We start from the raw sequence: 22,198 nt of genomic DNA, 5'->3' as shown, positions 1-22,198 counted from the left end.
TATTACAGTCAATCTTCACTATTCATCACTTCGGTATTTGCAAATTTACGTATTTGCAAAAATTGATTTGCAACCCCAACTTCAATACTGGTGATTTTGCTGTTTGAGATGGCCCCGAAGGGTAGTGCTGCAGTGCCTTCTGGTGTTTTAAACACAAGAGGCTGTGAGGTACCTTATGGAGAAAACGGGTGTGTTAGATAAGCTTCCTTCAGGCAGGAGTTGTAGTGCTGGTGGCTGTTCAATGTTAGCTAATCAGCAATATTTTATTGAGGAAATAGCACTATTTACTTCTGAGTAAGGGTTTAATGTCTCTGTTAGGGATTCAATATGCTGTGTTTAAACAGAAACACACATTACAAAAATGTATTGATCAGTTGATGGAAATGTGACCAGAGGCTGGCAGGGATCTAACCCCATATTTCCCATAAAAGCACTGGCTCAGTATTCACAAATTCAGTGTTTGCAGTCACTTTAGAGTGTAACTACCATGAATAATGAGAATCAACCATCATCTCCACTTCGTAGATGAGGAAGCTGAGACCTGGGTCACATGCCTGAAGGCTTTCTGAATCTAAGTGGACCCCATTTCAGCTCAACTTAAGGACCTCAATCCTCTGCTGCTTACAATTGTCCCTTTGCTCCTTGCCGTGCTCTCCTGTTGTTGATATTTTCATTTCAGCCATTCAAATTGTGAGTAACATTTCTTCCACTTTGAGTTTTTTTTTTTTTTTTTTTTTTTTTTTGAGATGGAGTCTTGCTCTGTCGCCCAGGCTGGAGTGCAGCAGCGCGATCTTGGCTCACCGCAAGCTCCGCCGCCCGGGTTTACGCCATTCTCCTGCCTCAGCCTCCTGAGTAGCTGGGACTACAGGTGCCCGCCACCGCGCCCAGCTAATTTTTTGTATTTTTAGTAGAGACGGGGTTTCACCGTGTTAGCCAGGATGGTCTTGATCTCCTGACCTCGTGATCCGCCCGCCTTGGCCTCCCAAAGTGCTGGGATTACAGGCGTGAGCCACCGCGCCCGGCCTCTTCCACTTTGAGTTTGAAAGTTCTCATTTCCTGGCCACCACCACTGGTGCATAGGAATTGGAGATGGCTTGACAAAACAGCCTAGTCTTGGGCATTGGGACTTCTCAGCTGTGTGTTGTCTACTCATCCTGGTCGACAGGGTGTGTGTGCCTAGAGCAGCTGGAAGTGTGGGCAGTACGGTGGTGGGGGCAGAGGAAAAGTCAGTCCTCATATGGGGTCAAAGGAATTGTCAACCTTTGTTCTTATCCCCAGTAATTCTGAGCACAGCACCTTCAAACCTAGTGTTATTGTCTACATTTTATCTTTGGCCAACATTTTTAAGATTTATGATGGGCACATTGTATTAGTCCATTCTCACGCTGCTAATGAAGACATACCAGAGACTGGATAATTTATAAAGGAAAGAGGTTTAATTGACTCACAGTTCCGCAGGGCTGAGAAGGCCTCAGGAAACTTACAATCATGCTGGAAGGGGAATCAAACATGTCTTTCCTCACATGGTGGCAGCAAGGAGAAGTGCAGAGTGATGGGTGGGGAAAGGCCCCTTATAAAACCATCAGATCCCATGAGAACTAACTCGCTACCATGAGAACAGGATGGAGGAAACCACCCCCATCATTCAATTATGTGCATTGGGTCCCTCGTGCAACATGTGGGGATTATGGGAACTATAATTCAAGATGAGATTTGGGTGGGGACATAGCCAAACAATATAATTCTCCCCCTGGTCCCTCCCAAATCTCACGTCCTCACAATTCAAAATACCATCATGCCCTTCCAACCATCCCCCAAGGTCAACTCATTCCAGTGCTAAGCCAAAAGTCCAAGTCCAAAGTCTCATCTAACACAAGGCAAATTCCTTCTACTTATAAGGCTGTAAAATCAAAAGCAAGTTAGTTAGTTTCCAGATACAATGGAGGTATAGGTATTGGGTAAATATACCCATTCTAAATAAGAGAAATTGGCCAAAACAGTGGGGCTACAGGCTCCTTGCAAGTCCGAAATCCAATAGGGTAGTTATTAAACCTTAAAGTTCCAAAATGATCTCCTTTGACTCCATGTCTCATATCTAGGGCGTGCTGATGCAAAAGGTAGGCTCCCATGGCCTTGGGCAGCTCCGCCTTGGCTTTGCTAGGTACAACCCCACGGACTAATTTACTATATTAGTCCATTCTCACACTGCTAATAAGGACATACCCAAGATTAGGTAATTTATAAAGGAAAGAAGTTTAATTTACTCACATTTCCACAGGGTTGGGGAGGCCTCAGAAAACTTACAATCCTCATGGAAGGGGAAGCAAACACATCCTTCTTTAGATGGCAGCAGCAAGGAGAAGTGCGGAGCGAGAGGTGGGGAAAGCCTCTTATAAAACCATCAGATCTCACGAGAACTAACTCACTGTCACCAGAACAGGATGAGGGGGGAAACCACCCTCATGATTCAATTATCTCCACCAGGTCCCTCCCATGACATGTAGGGATTATGGGAACTATAATTCAAGATGAGATTTGGTTGGGGACACAGCCAAACCATGTCACACGTGATCATTGTATATATTTATGGATTACAGTGCGATGTTTCAATACATGTGTAAATTGTGTAATGATCAAATCAGGGTAATTAGCATACTGATCACCCTAAACATTGATAAATTTATTTGTGATGAGGACATACAATATATTACTGCAAACTCTAGTCATAATACTGTGCAATAGACCACCAGAACTTACTCTTTCTATCTAACTGGAGCCTTGCACCCCTTGACCAATCTCACCATTACCCCCTTCCCTCTGCATCCTCTGGTAACCACCACTCTACTCCCTACTTCTATGACATCAATGCTCTTCACTTCAACTCATCAGCATCATTAAATACTCATCATCCACAACTTCCTAAAAAGACATGTCTGTTTGCAATCACTTAAGGTAGTTGAAGAATTACATTTTGTTAAAAGCACAAACAGCAACAGCACACATTTCCACCTAACAGTTTACTAAGTCTGGCATAGACACCTTAATTTGCAAGCCTTTGCTTTCCTGGAGCTCTGAGCTTCCAGCAACTAACATCTGCACTCCCCAATTTACTTCATGTTTTAGAAATTACTTTTTTCTAAATACAAAATTAATTCATATTCAGTATAAACTATTCCTGAGAAATACAGAAAAACAAGGAGATTATAAAAGGTATTTGTCAGTTCCATCACTCATGTGTAATCCCTCTTAGCATTTGGGTGTGTCCTTTCAATGTTTTCTCCCCTGTGATTTATATAGTAACATAATGTTGCATTCTAAGCTCTTTTTAAACTTAATATTATACTATAAATATTTTTCCATTTTTAAAGATTTAGCTAATACTATTTAAGTGACAGCAAAATATTCTACTGTATGGGCTAATCACAAATTATTTAGGAATTTCATATAGTTGCATATTTAGGTTGTTTGCTTTTTTTTGACATTATACAACTTTACCATAAGAATTTTTATAGCAAAATCCTTGAACAAATTTTCTCTGTTGTTTTCTTTGGAAAAATTATTAGAAATAAAATTGGTAGGTCAACAATATGCATACTCCTGAGGCCTTTGAAAAACTTACACCCAGTTGCAGTATAAATATTGGTTAGCATCCAAAAATCTTTTACTCTTGAACTGAATTTCCTGTATGTCAGCAAACATTAGTGGTATGGTGGACAGGCAGTGTGAGGCCCAAAGAAATATACTTCGAGGACAGTGTTTTAGAAGAGAAATCACTACCTCTTAAAACTTTTAAATGTTGATGGCAGAAATATAAAGGCAAATTAGAACCAGATTTGGGGTGGGAGAGCTCAGTGGGCAGCTGTCATAAGGGACCCATTTCTTCCCACAAAAAGTTCCAGATCATCCTGACATAGGGTGTGTACTTAAACTTGCCTGGAATGCCTGCTGTAATGGGATAATGACTTTTGAACACCTTATTTTTAAATCAGAACCTGCCACCTCTCCATTAACTAGCCAAATTCCCAAACAATAGTCAATCTGGAGCTTGGAGCACTTATTAAAAAGTAACTCTTGCAGAAATGTTTGCTGCAGGGTACAGCTCCATTGGGCACATCCTCCTTAGTGATGAAATAGAATCGTTTAGTACAACTAGTCTGTATCTGCAGCTGCAGATGTCTGTTTTCATCTATTTATTTTCATCTCTTGGAAAGATAACCATGTGTCATCAGTAACTGATACCATTGATTAACTTTTAACCATTATGCCTAAAGAAAAACAACCACCACCATATCAGTCTTCCTGCTTAGAGAGAAATTAAGAATCAATTCATAGGAGGGGATATGTGTTGCTTACATCTATCAGCCAGGCCCACTCAACTGCTTCTTCCATGGTGTTCATGTGAATTGCATTAGATCCAGGAAAGAATTACATATGGTTTATATGTCAGATCAAAATTTCTTTTTTGGGGCCTGAAAAACTCAGATAGCAGAGAGTAATAACATTCTTCCTTTTCATCAGGGAAACTTTTATTGTAGGCATTCTTAGTTTATGCATACCCAAATTTGTCACAAAGACAAGAATTGGGTGCTTTCTTGCCTTCTGAGTAGCTAGTGGTGGCAACAAATAAAATTCACTTTGGGGATTGTGCTTATGCTAAAGCAAGCAATTTATGCATTCACTTATGCATTAGTGAGCAATTCAAATCTGGTTGTCAGGGATGGAAAAGGCAGTAGGCTGTTTGTCTTTGAGGCCACTACTTCCTCTTCTTGGACACTTGCTTCACTTTCTGTTGTTCCCACTTCCTCTCTCACAACCTGGGTCACAGAAAATAAGGATCTGATAAACAAATTTTCATGAGATGATAATAATGTATGTTACCTCTTCTAGGAATATTTAGAAGAAGGAGCACAAGAAAGAGGACACCCTTAACAGAAAAGTTATTCATTTCCAATGTGAGTTTCTGTGCCATAGTTGTATGTATATATATGCTTGTAGAGATGTGTAGTTACTTTGGTGGTAAGAGGCATGTGGGAAACATCAGAATCAAGACTAGAAGAATATGTCTCTCTACAATTCCATTGTTTTTATTTGGCCAAAGGTATTGTCAATTAATCAAATTGTCAATGTGAACAGCCAGGTGGTTTGTGGAAGATTCATTCCCTTTTGATTTATAGTTCTGTATACTTCATCCACTCTCCTACAATTGCAGGAGCAGAATTTAGAAGCTGTAAAGATTTGATTACTATGAAATCACTGACTCTGTTTTTGCATTGTTAAAAAAAATTCTACATGGTTTATTTCGGCAAATTTATGCTTGATTATACTGGAAATGTTTCCATAGCTCATTGTTTTCTTTTTGAAATAGAAACAAATATATGTGCTTAAATTTAATTGGCTACTGTTCCTAGTCAGTAGTGAAGCACACAGGATTTTAGAAGTGATCAACAAGATTAATGTATCAGTTCCTCCATGTACACTCCAGCACTTACTGTTCTATTAGAATTCAGATTTCTTTATAGGTACGAATATCTACTTGTAAGAGGCAAGGAAAGATGAAAGAGATTGTATGCAATAGGCTGGGCATAGTAGTTCACGCCTGTAATCCCAGCACTTTGGGAATCTGAGGCGGATGGATTATGAAGTCAGGAGTTCGAGACCAGCCTGGCCAACATGGCAAAACCCTGTCTCTACTAAAAATACAAAAATTAGCTGGGCGTGATGGTGGGCACCCGTAATCCCAGCTACTCGGGAGGCTGAGGCAGGAGAATCACTTGAACCTGGGAGGTGGAAGTTGTAGTGAGCCGAGATGGCACTATTGCACTCCAACCTGGGCAACAGAGCAAGACTCCATCTCAAAAAAAAAAAAAAAAAAAGAGATTGTATGCAATAAACAGGAGCTTTTCTACCCTAATTTCATTGGATGTATCTTTTATTTTATGTGTCTGTCTTTCTTTCTTTCTTTCTTTTTCTTTCTTAATTTTTTTTAATGGAGTCCTGTTCTGTTGCCCAGGCTGGAATGGAGTGACACAATCCCGGCTTACTGCAACCTCCACCTCCCTGGTTCAAGTGATCAAGTGATTCTCCTGCCTCAGCCTCCTGAGTAGCTGGGATTACAGGCACCTGCCAGCATGCCCAGCTAATTTTTTTTTTTTTTTTTTTTTTTAGCAGAGACAGGGTTTCACCATGTTGGCCAGGCTGGTCTTGAACTCCTGACCTCAAGTGATTCACCTGCCCCGCCTCAGCCTCCCAAAGTGCTTGGATTACAGGCGTGAGCCACTGCACCCAGCCATTTTTCTTTTTATTAAAAAGAAAATCTTATCTTTTTGGTAATAAACAGCAAACATTTGGGTCTAATAAAAACTTGGGAGCATTTTGTTATGTGTGTGCGTGTGTGTGTGTGCACGTGTGTGTTTTAGAGATGGAGTCTTGCTATGTTGCCCAGGTTGGAGTGCAGAGGCTATTCACGGGCATGATTGTGCACACTGCAGTCTCACACTATTGGACGCAAGCAATCCTCCCACCTCAGCCTTATGAGTAGTGTGAACTACAGGTATGCTCCACCATGCCTAGCCTGTTTCATGTGTTTTTATCTTTAATTTGGTTTAAAGGAGTACATCCAGGATTGAATAAGAGCAGCACTAGTAGACACAAGCCAACAGATGGTCTACCCAGACCCCAAGCCACCCGCAGCACAGCCCTCCTTTTGTGTATGATGCCAGCTACATAGGGGATCCTACAGGAGGAAGGAAAAGCCCATATTTGCTTTATAGCAGGTGGGCTTGCTCTGTGGGTGCAGATGGAAAGTACATGAGGGCTGCAGCCTCATTCAAAGGTGGCTTGCAGAGTGTGGCGAGAGGAAATCCTCTTAATGGGCAGAGGTTCAGGCAGCAAACTTGGTCACTCACTTTATAATGAAGGAAGATGCAGCCCACAGTTAGAAAATAATGACAATCATGGGAAGTACTGGAAGATCATAGATGCATGTGGATGGATAGAAGGAGTGGGCCTGAAAGTGAAGATTTTTATGCCATGTTAACACTCACAAGAGTGTCCACGGAAGAGGCACTGAATGACTGAGCAGACAGAATGACCTGGCCTATTGACATCAGCCCACCCCTACCCTTCACCACTTCTAGAGCTGACTCCATGAGCCCATGAATACAGTGGCCGTGGAGGCTATGCATGGGGCCCCACAACCCGGACCACCACTCACCAAGCCCATCTAGCTGCTACCATCTAAACTGCCAGCTTCAGAGAACACTGTGAGAGCTCCCATCTTCTCCAGGGTGCATCTCCCTGTCCTGGTCCACTTCTTCCCCACCCCTGCCCTGCTGCTGGCTTCAGTCTATACCAAAGAGGCCTGTACTGTAAATTTTAAAAACTTCATATTTTCCCCATGCCTCAACATCACACAGGCCATGAGCACCCCACCCAGGGCCCAGGTGCACTAGTATGATAAGGTTGGTTCAGCCACAAGTTCCTCTTCTTTTTCTCCTCTGACTGTGAACTAGTGACATTTAAAAGCACCAACAACACTCCCTCATGCCTCTTGCTTGTGTACTCCACTGGGACCCCCAGTAAAGGCATTCGCTCATTGGGGCTCACTCTCTTGTGCCCCCACCTGCTTCATGGAGCGCTGGCTTAGTGCTTCTTCCACATGGCCTCCTGCATGGCGTGGTGTGGCCTGTGTCCTTCTCTATGACCTATGAGTAGAAGAAATCTTTTTATTTCACATGTTACCCGAGTGTAATTTCCCAAGTCGGAGACCGGAGAGATCTCCAGAGTTGGAGAGATCCTTAAAGACCCCACAAGGGGGACTTACTCCCTGATTTACAACATGAGGCCACAGATTCAGTCTTAGAACAGCTTCTTGAAAAATCTGAGAGTATTCACTTTGCAATATTACCACAATACTTAGAATTCTTAAAGAAAACGTTCCAGTAGTCAAGCTAAGCAAACTCAGTTTTAGTAGAAATATAATTTGACTTAAAATTCTTTTGGTTGCCTTTAGACAGTAAGTTGACATTTATTGAAGAGGTCAGTTTTAATAGCACTCAAAAAGCATTACAGAAATCTCTTATAAGAAAGCAAAGTGTAATGGGCTCACACAAAGTGCCAATGGCGAGAAGTCAGCTTTTTTTAAAACCCCACTTCCCCCAGCTTTAAAAAAAAAATGTATTCAATTATTGTAGGAAAGCATTAATATGACCTTTATCAATTCACAGTATCTCATATAAATGTGTTGAAGTCTTATAGGATGTACATATTTCAAAAAGACCAGTATGTTTGAGAGAAAAAAAATAAAGTGGTCTTATACAGAAGCCATATGAAAGACCAATACCGTAATTGAGAAAACATAAGAATGTACATTTGTAACGTCTGCAACCTGCCAAGATGATGAATATTTAAAAGTTTAACTTTTGTTAAGTCTATTATTGGCAACAGAGTAATTTCAACTGGGAAAAGCAATCCTTGAACCAGTTAGGGGATTATCTGGAGTTTTGGCATTCAGATAAAGCCCGCTTATTTGGAACAAAGCTACTTTGGGGTTTTAAGGTTTGTAAAACGTCACCCTGCCTTGTATTTTAAACTTTATTAAAATGACCTGCAGCCAGAAAAGTCCCTATATCATTGCCTCAGAGAGACAACATCTTATAAAGACACCTTGAGGTGTGTGGCCTTCTCTGTCTTCTATAATAGAAAATAATCATCTTGTAATGTTGTAAGCAAATGGCAGAAGAGGTGCCTACATTCTTTTACCCCAGGCAACCAGAAGAGAACAACTGAACTCTTTGAATGCCTGGTACATCATCCAATGGCAAGTGGAACATTAAAGAGAACAGGAGTTGCTTCTGGCATTTTCCAAATACTAATTGTGCCTTTGGGAGACCTTTGATTTTAGAGATTTTTGGAAGCAAAATAATATGGTTTTCTCATATTGAATTAATGGGTTAAAACAGCTAAGCCATATGAGGAACTTGTACCTTGGCTTTAATACTGATACCTACTGAAAATCAAGTACACCTGCCCTGGCAGCTGCATTGCTCAGCAGGCGCTCTGCTCTCTAACAGTGCTACCTGCTGTGCCCTAAGCACTCCTTGTTTTTTATTGCATCTGAGTCTGTGGTCTACTGGAAATCCTGCCCATTCTTAAGGTCTGGTTCAAATTATCACTGCCTAGAAGAAACTTTCTTTGATTCTCACAACTGTGATCAAAGCACACAGAACTTACCACATTCAGTTGTGTTACCAACATCTATGTAATACACATGAATCCTTCTCCAGATCACAAGTGAAGGCAGGAACCCCCTTCCCTTTCTTCCAGCTCTCTGTTAAGAGTCGTTTTCCCCATCACTATGCACACAGCCTGTGCATGCCTGTGCTTCTTGCATTACAACACTTTTTTCCTCTTCCTCACAAACTTCATTTTTTAATTATTTTTTTCACAATAAAAATTGCATATATGTAAGAGGTATAATGTGATGTTTTGATATATGTATACATTATGAAATGGTTATCACAATCAAGCTAATGAACATAGCCATCACCATCTTTGTGTGTGTGTGTGGTGAGAACATTTTAGATCTACTCTCGTAGCAAATTTCAAGTATACAAAACGTAATTATTAACTATAGTCACCATGCTGTACATTAGATCTCCAGAATTTATTCATTTTGTAACTGAAATTTTGTGCCCCTTGGCCAACGTCTCCTTATTTTCCCTACCTCCAGCCCCTGGTAACCACCCTTCTACTCTCTGCTTCTGTGAACTCATATTTTTAGATTCCACACATAAGTGAGATCATACAGAACTTGTTTTTCTGTGCCTGGCTTATTGGGTCCCTGGATGACACATTTAACACAGATCTCTGCCACTGGGGGCTTAATGGCCATCCCCCTGTCTGCACTGTGAACTCTGGAAGGGGCGGTTGTTCTAGGAGTATCTCAAGAGCCACTGTCATGGAATGCATTTAACCCATATTTGTTGTCACTTTATCCCTCTACATTTTGTATGTTTAAATTAGTAATTATATTTCATTTGGGTCAAACCATAATTATTAATAAATATTTCCAATCTGCTAAGTGCTTTTAGAAATGAAATAATAATATTGTTGTCCAATATTATTATATAACTTCAGTTCAGTTCAGGCAATGTCATTAATGACTTAAGGAATGCCCTGGAAGACTACCCGACTGTTTACGTAGTGGAGATGGAACTTTTGTAGGCATGTGCCCTCTCTTAGGTCAGCAAAAACCACAATGCATGATTAAAGAAAGATACACAAATGAACACAGGATCTATTTCCAATATTGTAACTTTTCCCTTAACAAAGGGATCACTGGAAGGCACCTTATAATCCAATGTATGTTTCTATTTCTCAACCTATAAAAATAAAGAACTGAAGCAAACTGAAAACTATCATATGCTAAACTAGGTAAGTTGGAAATGTGTAAAGTCTATACCTGTGACCTTCTAATTTTGTAATTTGTAATGAAACTGTCAGTATTTGGTAAGAGTGTTGGCAAAATGTTTTAGTCCAAACACCGCTGCACAAATTAAATAGCTGCTCTGCAGAGGAAAGTGGAACTTGGGAATACTTCAAATGAATGGTGTGTGTGTGGGGAGCTCCATCTTTTCCACCACAGTGAAACCATGTTACCCAAGTTTGGAAACTGTTTATACAAAATGAAATGAAATCTTAGAACCCCTCAGATGTGCAAACCAAAAATTAAACAACATGAATAACACAAACTGAGGGAAAAGGCTGTTACTTTTATCTGAAATAGGCCTTTTCATGTAAATAAAATAGGTGACTTTTTTTTTTTAGGTTAAAATTTGGTTCATTTTAACTTCAGGCAGTGATTTTTTCCTAATGTTTGTTTACCATTTTCCCAGCTACATCACCCTATCTTCAGAACCTTCTTAGAAACCAAAGGGCCAGGCATCTTCACTCTAGTGACAAGACAGAAATCCAGAGTGGGGATTTTCCATACCCAAACACATAGTTTGAATTCTGGAAGGAAAGCCCCACAGCCTTACTTTTCTTAAGACCTCATTAAGACCTTCTTAGTCTGATCTTACATTTTCTAATACCAGAACAATGAAGTTGACATGCAGTGAGAGCCAGCCATGTGAATTTATTTTGTTCTACTTACTTACCTGAAATTAGGGCCACTTGGGAAAGGAAACATTCACTCTTTCCTGTCTCTGATGATAATAAAATGCCAGGTATTGCTGTTGCTTTCTCCTCTCCTAAACCATTTGACAAAATCATCCCTCCAGCCTTGCATAGGCTTTTCTACTTGCATCTCTCTCTGTCTTAGCCCATTTTTGTGAGCCTTCTCCTTCACACTTTTGGAGCCATTGTAGTTCTTTGACTCTCGTCTTTAAAAGATTTTGTGCATAATTACAAACCGTTGAACACATCATAAGCTCATAACTGTCTTTTTTTTTTTGAGATGAAGTCTCGCTCTGTCATCCAGGCTGGAGTGCAGTGGTGCGAACTCGGCTCACTGCAGCCTCTACCTCCCCAGCTCCAGTAATTCTTGTGCCTCAACCTCCCAAGTAGCTGGGACTACAGGTGCACATCACCACGCCTGGCTATTTTTTTTTTTTTTTTTTTGTATTTTTGGTAGAGACAGGGTTGTGCCACATTGACTAGGTTGGGCTCAAACTCCTGACCTCAAGTGATCCACGGACTTCTGCCTCCCAAACTGCTGGGATTACAGATAAGAGCCACTGCGCCCGGCCTGATAAATGTCTTTCTTATCAAAATGATAGCATAGCAGTGAAAAGTGTGAGCTCTGGAGTGAGACTGCAGTGAATGCAAATCCCTGATGCTACTACTTAGCTACTACTTAATCAAACCTATCTCTCAGGGTTTCTATGAGCTAAACGAGATAATGCTTGAAGATAGTTTAGCACATTGTCTGCTAGACAGTTAATGCTCAATAAATGTTACCTGTTGTTTATAAGTGGGTTACCATTTCTACACAATCTTCTATTTTTAAAAATTCTGTTGGGACTATCAACCTATCCAGCCCTTCATTATCATCATAACTGGGTCATCCTAAGCTATCTCTGCCAGAGAGATGCTTCAGGCCTCACCTTGCAAAGCACTGTTATTAATTCATTTCTTTTTAATTTATCAAGGGACTTTCACTAGCTACTAATTTAGCAGAGCTCAGAGTCTCCCTGTATGTCCTTGAGCTGAGATGTAGGAGATCAAGTACAAAGAAAAAAAATACTAATTGCTTAGCCTTCCAGCTGTTCATTTTCTTGTTTTTCAAAATGGCCCTTAGCAGCAAGCAGGAGACAGGAAAAAGGCTGTTCTAAATTGGAGCTTGATTTAATGTGTTCTGGACACAAAACTTTCACTTTCAGCCCTCTTCAAGCCAGAAATACACAAAGTACAACCTGTAACGTATTTAGTAAATGATGAGTGGCCGAGAGGTCAAAGACAATCTGGCACTAGAGAAAAATCTGATCTTGTTCAAAAGTGTCTCTTGCAGCCTGGCTTTTGGCTGGGTGTGCTTGACTGTCGGTTCTGGGAAGGCATTCCAAGTGAGGCTAATATTGCCCCTTTCGAGCAGGTAGAGAGAATCCTTCCCTGATTCCTTTCTCTGTCTTTTAAAAGACAGTAGGGAGAAAAGTTGTTTATCTGATATAAAATTATTTATCTGTCTTATTTTTCTGTTTTTGATTCATTGACTTTTATTACAGTTAAGACTCATCAAGGGATAAAATCTGAAAACTTATAAAGGATACTTATTACAGAAAAAATTTAAGGGTAAGTGCTTTTTTGCTCACTGTCTTTATTCAGAAAAAAATATAGGAAATGTACTTAAGTTGAAATAGAGATTTTAACTACTGAACCCATAATTCTGATACTAAATAGTTGTTTTACACAGTCCCTTAATATTTCTGGATGTCTGCTTCCTCAGATCGAAAATGAAGGGCTTCAATATATGAGCTATAAAGCCGCTGTCAGATTTTAAAACTTTATGGTTCTACTAGATGTCTAATTTATAAAGAAATACACTGTCCCCTCCCCAGACAGTTACAGATAATGTGCTATTTTTCACAAACATTGCTGATATAGCAGCTATTTTCAGTTTCCAATGAAGTGAAGAACAATGTGACCTATTTAAAAGCTGGCTCATGAAAGAATATTAGCCACCAGTTATCAGTCCTTTTATTTAATTTTCTTGATAAGGACTGTATGATAGAAACATTTATTTGCTGCAAAACTAATAGCAGCCTAGACTGTATTTCATAATACTGTACATGCACTCTGTAATAGCTCTGAGAAATGGATTTCATATTTGTTGCCAATTCAATTTAGATGGGTTGAGAAAAAAGAGAAAATACACTTTTGTGCTCATCTTTCCTGAATGACTAAACAGTTAAAAAGACATATGGTTTCTCAAGATCATTAAAAAACTTTAACTGTTACTTTCCATGTGGATTGCTTCTCTGTGTAGGATCCAGAAATGATTGCTATTAAGATTGCAAGAAATTTCTTTTTCGGTTTTAAGAAAATATTCTTCTGTTCATATACATGCTTTCCTAGAATGAGTTAACAGATATTTACTAAGAAAGACAAGAGAATAACAATAAATGGGAAACCGAGTTATTTCAATGAGGAAGCAGCAGCATTATTTTAATGAATAACTCAGTTCGTGAATGTAGTTTCCTTAATTTCACCTGTCTAACAATAATCTGGCTACTGTCTATCTGTGGTAATTAAAACATATTTTTAACATTTTGTCTTCCATTCCATGCTCATGGATAGGAAGAATCAATATCATGAAAATGGCCATACTACCCAAAGTAATTTATAGATTCAATGCTATTCCCATTAAACTACCATTGACATTCTTCACAATATTAGAAAAAACTATTTTGAAATTCACCTGAAACCAAAAAAGAGCCCAAATAGCCAAGAATATCCTAAGCAAAAACAACAAAGCTGGAGGCATCATGCTACCTGACTTCAAACTATATGACAAGGCTACAGTAACCAAAACCTCATGGTACTGGCACAAAAACAGACACATAGACCAATGGAACAGAATAGAGAACTCAGAAATAAGACCATACACCTACAATTATCTGATCTTTGACAAACCTGACAAAAACAAGCAATGGGGAAAGGATTCCCTATTTAATATATGATGCTGAGAGAGCTGGCTAGCTATACGCAGAAAATTGAAACTGGACCCCTTCCTTACACCTTATACAAAAATTAACTTAAGATGGATTAAAGACTTAAATGTAAAACCCAAAAACTATAAAAACCCTAAAGGAAAATCTAGGCAATACCATTCAGGACATAGGCACAGGAAAAGATTTCATGATGGAAAATGCCAAAAGCAATTGCAACCAAAGCAAAAATTGACAAATGGGGTCTAATTAAACTAAAGCACTTCTGCACAGCAAAAGAAACTATCCTCAGAGTGAACAGACAACCTACAGAGTGAGAGAAAATTTTTGCAATCTATCCGTCTGACAAAGGATGGTACAGAGAGTAGAGAGTGGAGTAAATGAGGGAAGAAAAACAACCAGAGTGAGATGGAGGCTGAAGAAGAGAAAAAGAAGGAGGGCAGGGAGAAGGGACTCCTTGAAGATTGGCTTGGCCTAAAGGAGGGTGACTACACATTTTGGTTTGCCTGTGATCGTGGTAGTTTTAGAGTGTCCCTTCAATCTAAAATTGTCCAATATGGATGATAAATGATCACCATATATACACAAATGCCCCAAATGCCAGTAGCATACCTAACAGTAGGACACCTGTCCTGGCATGCTGACTGTCATGTGGTGCATCCAGGGAGGAAAATTGTCCAGCATTTGCAGATATTGGACAACAAATGGTGCCCATAGGAAGAAAATGTCACTGCATTTTATGGTATATTTGTATAATTTAATTGACAGACTTCTTGTGGCTTAGATATGTAGAGAAAGGATTCTGTATCAAAAATCATAATCTTACTGTTGGATGAGACTTTTCCTTCATCAAATCTGTGCCACTGCTTCTGTCTTCCTTTGCCTCTAAGGTGCCCCAAGGGTAAGCACGCCCTTGTGCTCTCCTTGCCCCTTGAGTGTAGGCTAGCTTCTGTGACTCGCTTCTAGCCAATAGAATGGGGAGGTGATGGCATGACTCTTCCAAGATTAAGGCCTAAAAAGACTCAGGATTTGTGTTGGTGCTCATCACCCCCCACTTTCTCTCTAAGGGAAACTGGTGCTGTGGAGAGACCCATGTGGAAAGGAACTGAGGACTCCCGGCAAAAGTCACCAAGGACCGAGGTTGCTGACAGCTGCATGTGAACTCGGAAGCAGATCAATCCTTGCCCAAGCCCACACTTTGTCTACAGCCTTGGTGAGAGACCCTGAGCCAGGGATGCACATCCAAGCTGCACCCAAACTCTTGACCCACAGAAACTGTGAGATGATGAATGTGTTTAAGCCCCCATATTGTGGAGTCATTTATTACACAGCAATAGATGGCTAAGATGAGCACTATTTTTATCCCCTTGTGAGTTCATGGCTTGGTCTCCCTACCTCCCACTGACTAAATGTGGCTAAAGCAAAATCCAATAACCAGCTGTCTCTGAACAATATTAACTGAATGCCTACTGTTTACTAGCATGACAGGAATTCAAAAGAGTTTATGAGGGAAATGGCCACAGTGAGGCAGAGGATTTACATGCTGGGAAGGCTTCATCCTGGCAAATTACCCAGGGCAGACCTTCCCTCCTTCACTGTCTAAAATATCCAACTCTTATAGTTTCAAATCCCCATCTCTTATTGTCTGTCTTATAGAAACCACCCTGACTCCTCAAATACAGTCACTCCATTCCCTATGAAGCTGCTTTTTTTTTTTTTTTTTTGAGAGGGAGTATCGCACTGTCACCCTGGCTGGTATGCAGTGGCGTGATCTCCGCTCGCTGCAACCTCTGCCTCCCAGGTTCAAGCGATTCTCCTGCCTCAGCCTCCTGAGTAGCTAGGATTACAGGCGCCTGCTACCACGCTTGGCTAATTTTTTTATTTTTTGTAGAGACAGGGTTTCACTATGTTGGCCAGGCTGTTCTCAAACTCCTGACCTCATGGTCCGCCTGCCTCAGCCTCCCAAAGTGCTGGGATTACAGGCATGAGCCACTGTGCCTGGTGGAAGCTGCTCAGAGATGGGGCGCTTCCTCTAGTTTTCCACTTGACTCTGGTCTTCCTCCTAGTTCCCTTCCTTCCAGGCAGAGGCTGAGGCCAGGCACATGGTACCTTTGCTCTTACTTTGTTTGCAAAAACAATGGCTGCATTTTCCCGCAGCTGACTAGTAAAACTCTTGGCTGACTCATTAAATATTTCACCTTTGTTGGTTTCAAAGCACAGCTTACATATTAATGAGATCCACTGTTTCTCTTTTTGATAAGGACTTTTTTCCAGTTTCATGACATAGTTCACTCTTGAGAAACAACAAAACATGGTGGTTAAGAGCTTGGCTCTGAATCCCAACTTCCCAGTTTCAGGTTCTGGCTCTCAAATTTACCAGCTGTGTGATCTCGGGCAATTTGCTTCACTTCTCTGTGCCTCCATTTACACATAAAAAATTGGATAATAATGACTGTAATTGTGAACCAAAGAACATGTGTCCCTATTTGGAATTACTAGAAATGGTTAGCTGTTTTAGAATGCCAAACAATTGGGAATACATGGCCAACAGTCCTGACGATGCTTGGGCACAAGGAAGTTAATATGTGCAAAGTGCTTAGAGCAAGGGCTGGCTCCAAGTGAGCACCTGTGAGCCTTAGCTACTATGATATTATCACAATATCATTTGGAGCAAATATAAAGCAACCATTTTTTTAGATCAAAATGCTATTCTGAGCTGGGACTATCTTCTTTGATTTAAATTTATGGAATTTGCCATGAATTGTGAAATAACCCACCAGCCTATACTGGCTTCTTAGAGAGAGTGATCCATGACTCAAATTCTCCAAAAGAAATAAGACTTCTTCCTCTCTGCAAAGGCTTTGGAAGTTATTTGTAGGCAAAGAATGGAGATAAGTTTTGTATTACTCCAGGAAACAGAGAGGCCACCTATTTGATAGGCAAGATGAGGATACTATAGAATCATTTATCAAACTTTCAAACAACTGCAGTTTGTAAAGTAACAGACCTTGTGGAAAAATCAGTTCTCTTAGTCAAGGGAGAATGCAATTTAAGTTTCAGTATTCCACATAGAAGAAATGAATACATGCCCAGTGATGATGCATAGATAGTCACAAGGGCCTCATAGATGTTATTAATAACATTTTCAGTGGACTAAGAAACAGGTATGTATACAATACTTTGTTTATGGAAGTGGACAATCTGTTTTGGAATAAGAACTCAGAAGCGGTTGTACACACACACATATACACATGCCTCACAGCTTTGCCAAAAGAGTTGGGTGTTTCTGCTCTTAGGATTCTTTCTTCTGCTTTCCTGATTCTGTCCCCTCTCTCTTGACTTCCTGCTCTCCCTAACCTCAACCAATCTTCCTCACTCTGCTCCCTTGCTCCATTCACATTCTTACTACAGATATATGCTGATGCTAGAGGGTGTTGGTTAGAGCCACAAGTACTCATGGTGGTGATGAGAATGTGAAGTTTGTGCATAATTTTCCCAGAAGCACAGGAGTATACATGGAGAGAAAAATCTATGAATGAGCATATTTTATTAAAAAAGAAAAATAAAACTACTGTAGATCCTAGACCCTTGAAACTCAAATTATGGTTCCTGGAACACTGGTGTTTCAGGTGTCACTTGGGAGCTTGTTAGAAATGCAGGACGTCAGACCCCAAGCCAGACTATTGAAACCAAATCTGCTTTTTAACAAGATCCTCAGGGATTTGCATGCATATTAAAGTTCTAGAAGCACTTCCCTAGAAATATGTTAGGTTAAAACTCAAGCTTTTTTTTTTTTTTTTTTTTTGAGATGGAGTCTTGCAGTGTCACCCAGGTTGGAGTGCAGTGGCATGATCTTAGCTCACTGCAAGCTCTGCCTCCCAGGTTCATGCCATTCTCCTGCCTCAGCCTCCCAAGTAGCTGGGACTACAGGCGCCCGCCACCACACCTGGCTAATTTTTTGTATTTTTTTTAGTAGAGACAGGGTTTCACTGTGTTAGCCAGGATGGTCTCGATCTCCTGACCTTGTGATCTGCCCTCCTCGGCCTCCCAAAGTGCTGGGATTACAGGCGTGAGCCACCACGCCCGGCCAAAACTCAAGCTCTTACAGCAGCATAGCACATCAGTGAAAGCATGAAACCTGATACTAGAATGTCTAGGTTTAAATCCTGTTTCCACCACCTACCGTCTGAATCATACTTTCTTCTTTCTTTCTTTTCTTTTTCTTTCTTTCTTTCTTTCCTTTCCTTCCTTCCTTCCTTCTTTCTTTCTTTCTTTCTTTCCTTCTCTTTCTTTCTTTCTTTTTCTTTCCTTCCTTCCTTCCTTCCTTCCTTCCTTCCTTCCTTCCTTCTTTCTTTCTTTCTTTCCTTCTCTTTCTTTCTTTTTCCTTCCTTCCTTCCTTCCTTCCTTCCTTCCTTCCTTCCTTCCTTCCTTCCTTCCTTCTTTCTTTCTTTCTTTCTTTCTTTCTATCTTTCTTTCTTTCTTTCTTCTTTTTTTGAGATGGAATCTCACTCTGTCACTCAGGCTGGAGTGCAGTGGTGCTATCTTGGCTGACTGCAACCTCCGCCTCCTGGGTTCAAGTGATTCTCCTTCTTCAGCCTCCTGAGTAGCTGAGACTGTAGGCACGTGCCACCATGCCTGGTTAATTTTAGTATTTTTAGTAGAGATGGGGTTTCACCATGTTGGCCAGGCTGGTCTCAAACTCCTGACCTCAGGTGATCCTCCCGCCTTGGCCTCCCAAAGTGCTGGGATTACAGGTGTGAGCCACTGCACCCGGCCCTGAATCATGCTTTCTAAACCTTTAGAGACTCAGTTTTCTCATCTATAAAATGGGAATGATAACAATACTATCCCATTGGATTGTTAATTGAATTAACAATTATAGAATGCTTAGAACAGTGACTGGCACACAGCAATTAAGCACCATATAAGCATTGGTCAAATATATTTTCCAAAGTTAAGTGTAACATAATTAACAAATTCTAGAACTTCTTTAAATAATCAACGGAATAATTCCCAAAGCCCATTCGACCAATTTTTCCACATTCTAACCCACTATTCTCTCAACCCTACTTCTAGGCTGCCTCTGAGCTTTGCATATAAGCTTTGTGCTTATTAACCCTGCAGTGCAATTATTTGTTTATTGTCTGGCACAAGAAGGAGATCAACAAATGCTTGTAAAGTAAATGGATAGATATTTGATTTGTCATTATTTCCAAATCTTTCTCAAAGCCCAGATATTTCTTTGTTTTTCTCATGCATTTTCCTCCTTGTATTGTTAAAGAACAGAATATGCTACCCCAAAATATGACTATGAAGTAATTCGGGATGTGCCACCCAAAAATATGCCACTCTTTGATTATTTTAAGCTGAAGGCATTTGAAAAACAGCAAATTCAGGGAGAGGCTTTCTCTGAACTCTGCTTATCTGCTTAAAGACAGATCTTCCAAAAGGATCTCAATTGTCATAAATCCCCTCTCCAGGAAATTTTATCAACCAGAGAAGACTGACTCTTCTCACAGCAGAGGAGACTAGAAGTTGACACTAAATCCAGAAAAACGTTGTCCCAAACGATCATATCTCCTATCTCTTCTTCTACTGCCCCTCATCTTTCCTAAATACCATTTACTCTCCACGTGACCTATATCTGCCTCCCCTTACCCTTTTAAGATAGTATATAAGCTTTCAAATCTCACTGCTTTTCGAGTACTCACTTTCTTTTTCTGTGATGACCCATGCATATAATATTTAAAATTCATACTTTTGTATATCTTTAAGAAATATTATTTTAGATTCAGGGGGTACATGTGCAGGTTTGTCACATGGATGTATTACATAATGGTGAGGTTTGGGCTTCTAGTATACCCATCACTCAAATAGTGAACACTGTACACAATAGGTGATTCTCCAATTCTCACTCCCTTCCTGCTCTCCCTGCTTTTGGGGTCTGCAGCATCTATTATTTTCATCTTTATATCCGTGTATACCATTGTTTAACTTCCTCTTATAAGTGAGAACATGCAGTATTTGATTTTCTGTTTCTGAGTTATTTCACTTAGGATAATGACCTCAGGTTCACCCATGTTGCTGTAAAGGACATTATTTCATTCTTTTTTATGGCTGTCTAGTATTCCATGGTGTACACATACACATTTTCTTTATCCATTTAACCATTGATGGACATTTAGGTTGATTCCATGACTTTGCTACTGTGAATAGTGCCACCATAAACATATGAGTGTGGGTGTCTCTCTATATAATGATTTATTTTCCTTTGGGTAGATAACCAGTCATGGGGTTGCTGGGAAGAATGGTAGTCCTACTTTTAGTTCCTTGAGAAATCTCCATACTGTTTTCCATAGAGGTCATACTGATTTAACATTTCTACCAACAGTGTATAAGCATTCTCTTTTCTCTGCATCCACACCAACATCTGTTGTTTTACTCTGGAAAAAACCCAAAAAAATTCAGGCATCTGAAAATAGGTATTGTTAAAGAAAAAAATTATTCAATGACACTTGTCATAGCACAGTAAGGCAGACTTTATTCAGGTCCACCGCAATAGGTATGGGGACCACAGCGATGGGGTATTGCAGTGAAGGAGAGAGACTGGGCTCAACTCTGAGTACAGCATGGGCAAGTGGGACCATAGAGCCAAGGAGCAGGGTAGGGGTCAGCAAATGGAAAAATTACCAAGAGGGAATCTCTGGGGTAAGGTGAATTCAGGCTAAACTGACTTAGCAGGGGTCTTGCGAAAACTGGATTTTACATGGAAGTGCACAGATGGGCCTAGAAGAATATTCAGAAGGCTGAGTAGAGTTTGGCCAAGCAAAGATTCTTTGTCTGTATCTATGAGGCCTCTAAAAAGGAAAGCAGAGTAAGCTCGGAATAATTTTTAAATGATTCCAAAAAAATAGGTGCATGGAGACTAGATTTTTATAAAGGTCAACAGCTTTGAAAACTTCATTCTGTTAAAATCAAGATAATCAGTTTCCCAAGTGATCTCTAAGAATAATATAGGAAGTCATGGGGCTGAATAATAATAATAGTAGTAATAATTAGTGGTCACCCCCAAAAAGTAGGTGCATGGAGCTTCTACATATCTTTTGTAAAGAGGTGGGAGTCACAGAAATGAATGACACGAAAATTGTGAGATAGGCAGGAAGTCGCACTCCTAGGTACTGAGGACGTTCTCTGCACTGACACACCTTAGCAGACCTTCAGACAGACTTAATGGGGAAGCCAAAGAAGCTTATGCTCAGGGCCCATCACTTTCACAGGGTACCTTGCAAGGCCCTTGGAGAGGCTCTAGCAATTTTATATTCTTAATTTTATATTATTTTGAGGAGAGTAATTTTAGTGAAGTATGTGTAACATTGTATAAAGAAAAATGGACAATTTTGCATTATTCTGTTATTGAGCAAATGGTCTCACTGCTTGATGTAATTAGAAGCCATACTACGGCACCAGCTTTTGAGATAAAAAACAATTCATTGAGAGGCTGACACAGAAGGCATGGCTGAAATCTGTCTCCCAAATTTGAGTCTGCGGCAAGTTTCAAGGGATTGGAAGGCAGAAAGGATTTTGGTGTGGTAAGGTCTGATTGGAGAGCTTCAAATGTGACTATTTTTGGTAAGGTACGTTGAGGCTGATTTTAGCCCTGGATCTTCCTGGCCGTCAGACCCCCTCGCTTTTGAAATGGTTCTGATGTTCAGGTTCTGGTTGTGTCCTGGTCTTCCTGGTTCCGTGGGGAGGAATTGTTGGTTTTGGATGTCAGAGGTCAAATCTTTCCTATTGTACATGCCTGGGCCATATGACTTGCAGTCTTGGCTCTGTTATATCTACAAGGTACTTAGACATTCTATTATCAATAGAGTAGGCCCAGTTTGAGATGCTCCTGTGGTTACTACCATTCTTCCTGGAGAGGACCGCTTACAGCCTCCCAGCCCCAGTTGTGTAAGTTTCCCACAAACCTGCATCAGCCTCAGCTGGATTGTGCTTCTGCAGAGAAACCCTTGTACTCCCTTCTCTCTCCC

The 22,198-nt window shown here is 40.4% G+C and overlaps 1 long non-coding RNA gene across 10 annotated transcripts in view, besides 2 other annotated features; it reads left to right on the top strand.

Moving 5' to 3' along the window:
- The window catches only part of LOC105375864 (uncharacterized), a 79,123-nt gene that overhangs the window by 26,197 nt on the left and 30,728 nt on the right, over positions 1-22,198 (top strand). For 6 of the 10 annotated variants that reach the window (XR_007060920.1, XR_007060921.1, XR_007060919.1 and 3 more), the window contains 3 exons: positions 4,888-4,952; positions 12,723-12,789; positions 15,233-15,865. This is a non-coding gene — a long non-coding RNA (uncharacterized LOC105375864). Of the gene's footprint in view, positions 1-525; positions 691-4,887; positions 4,953-12,722; positions 12,790-15,232; positions 15,866-22,198 lie in introns of those variants that run through there. The other 4 variants (XR_928940.2, XR_928938.2, XR_928936.2 and 1 more) reach the window with 2 other exon arrangements.
- Positions 7,027-7,735: a transcriptional cis regulatory region, noted in NCBI's record as "candidate enhancer chr8.1769 targeted for multiplex CRISPR interference". NCBI's record gives its function as "positively regulates CA8 gene expression with high confidence in K562 cells {active_cell/tissue: K562}" and the evidence as "EXISTENCE:mutant phenotype evidence [ECO:0000015][PMID:30612741]".
- Positions 11,711-11,826: a transcriptional cis regulatory region, noted in NCBI's record as "candidate enhancer chr8.1768 targeted for multiplex CRISPR interference". NCBI's record gives its function as "positively regulates CA8 gene expression in K562 cells {active_cell/tissue: K562}" and the evidence as "EXISTENCE:mutant phenotype evidence [ECO:0000015][PMID:30612741]".

This window comes from Homo sapiens, chromosome 8, assembly GCF_000001405.40.
Source record: "Homo sapiens chromosome 8, GRCh38.p14 Primary Assembly".
In the NCBI taxonomy this organism is placed as follows: domain Eukaryota; kingdom Metazoa; phylum Chordata; class Mammalia; order Primates; family Hominidae; genus Homo; species Homo sapiens.
The sequence above is the reverse complement of the archived record's forward strand: the minus strand, read 5'-3'. Positions and strand labels throughout refer to the sequence as shown.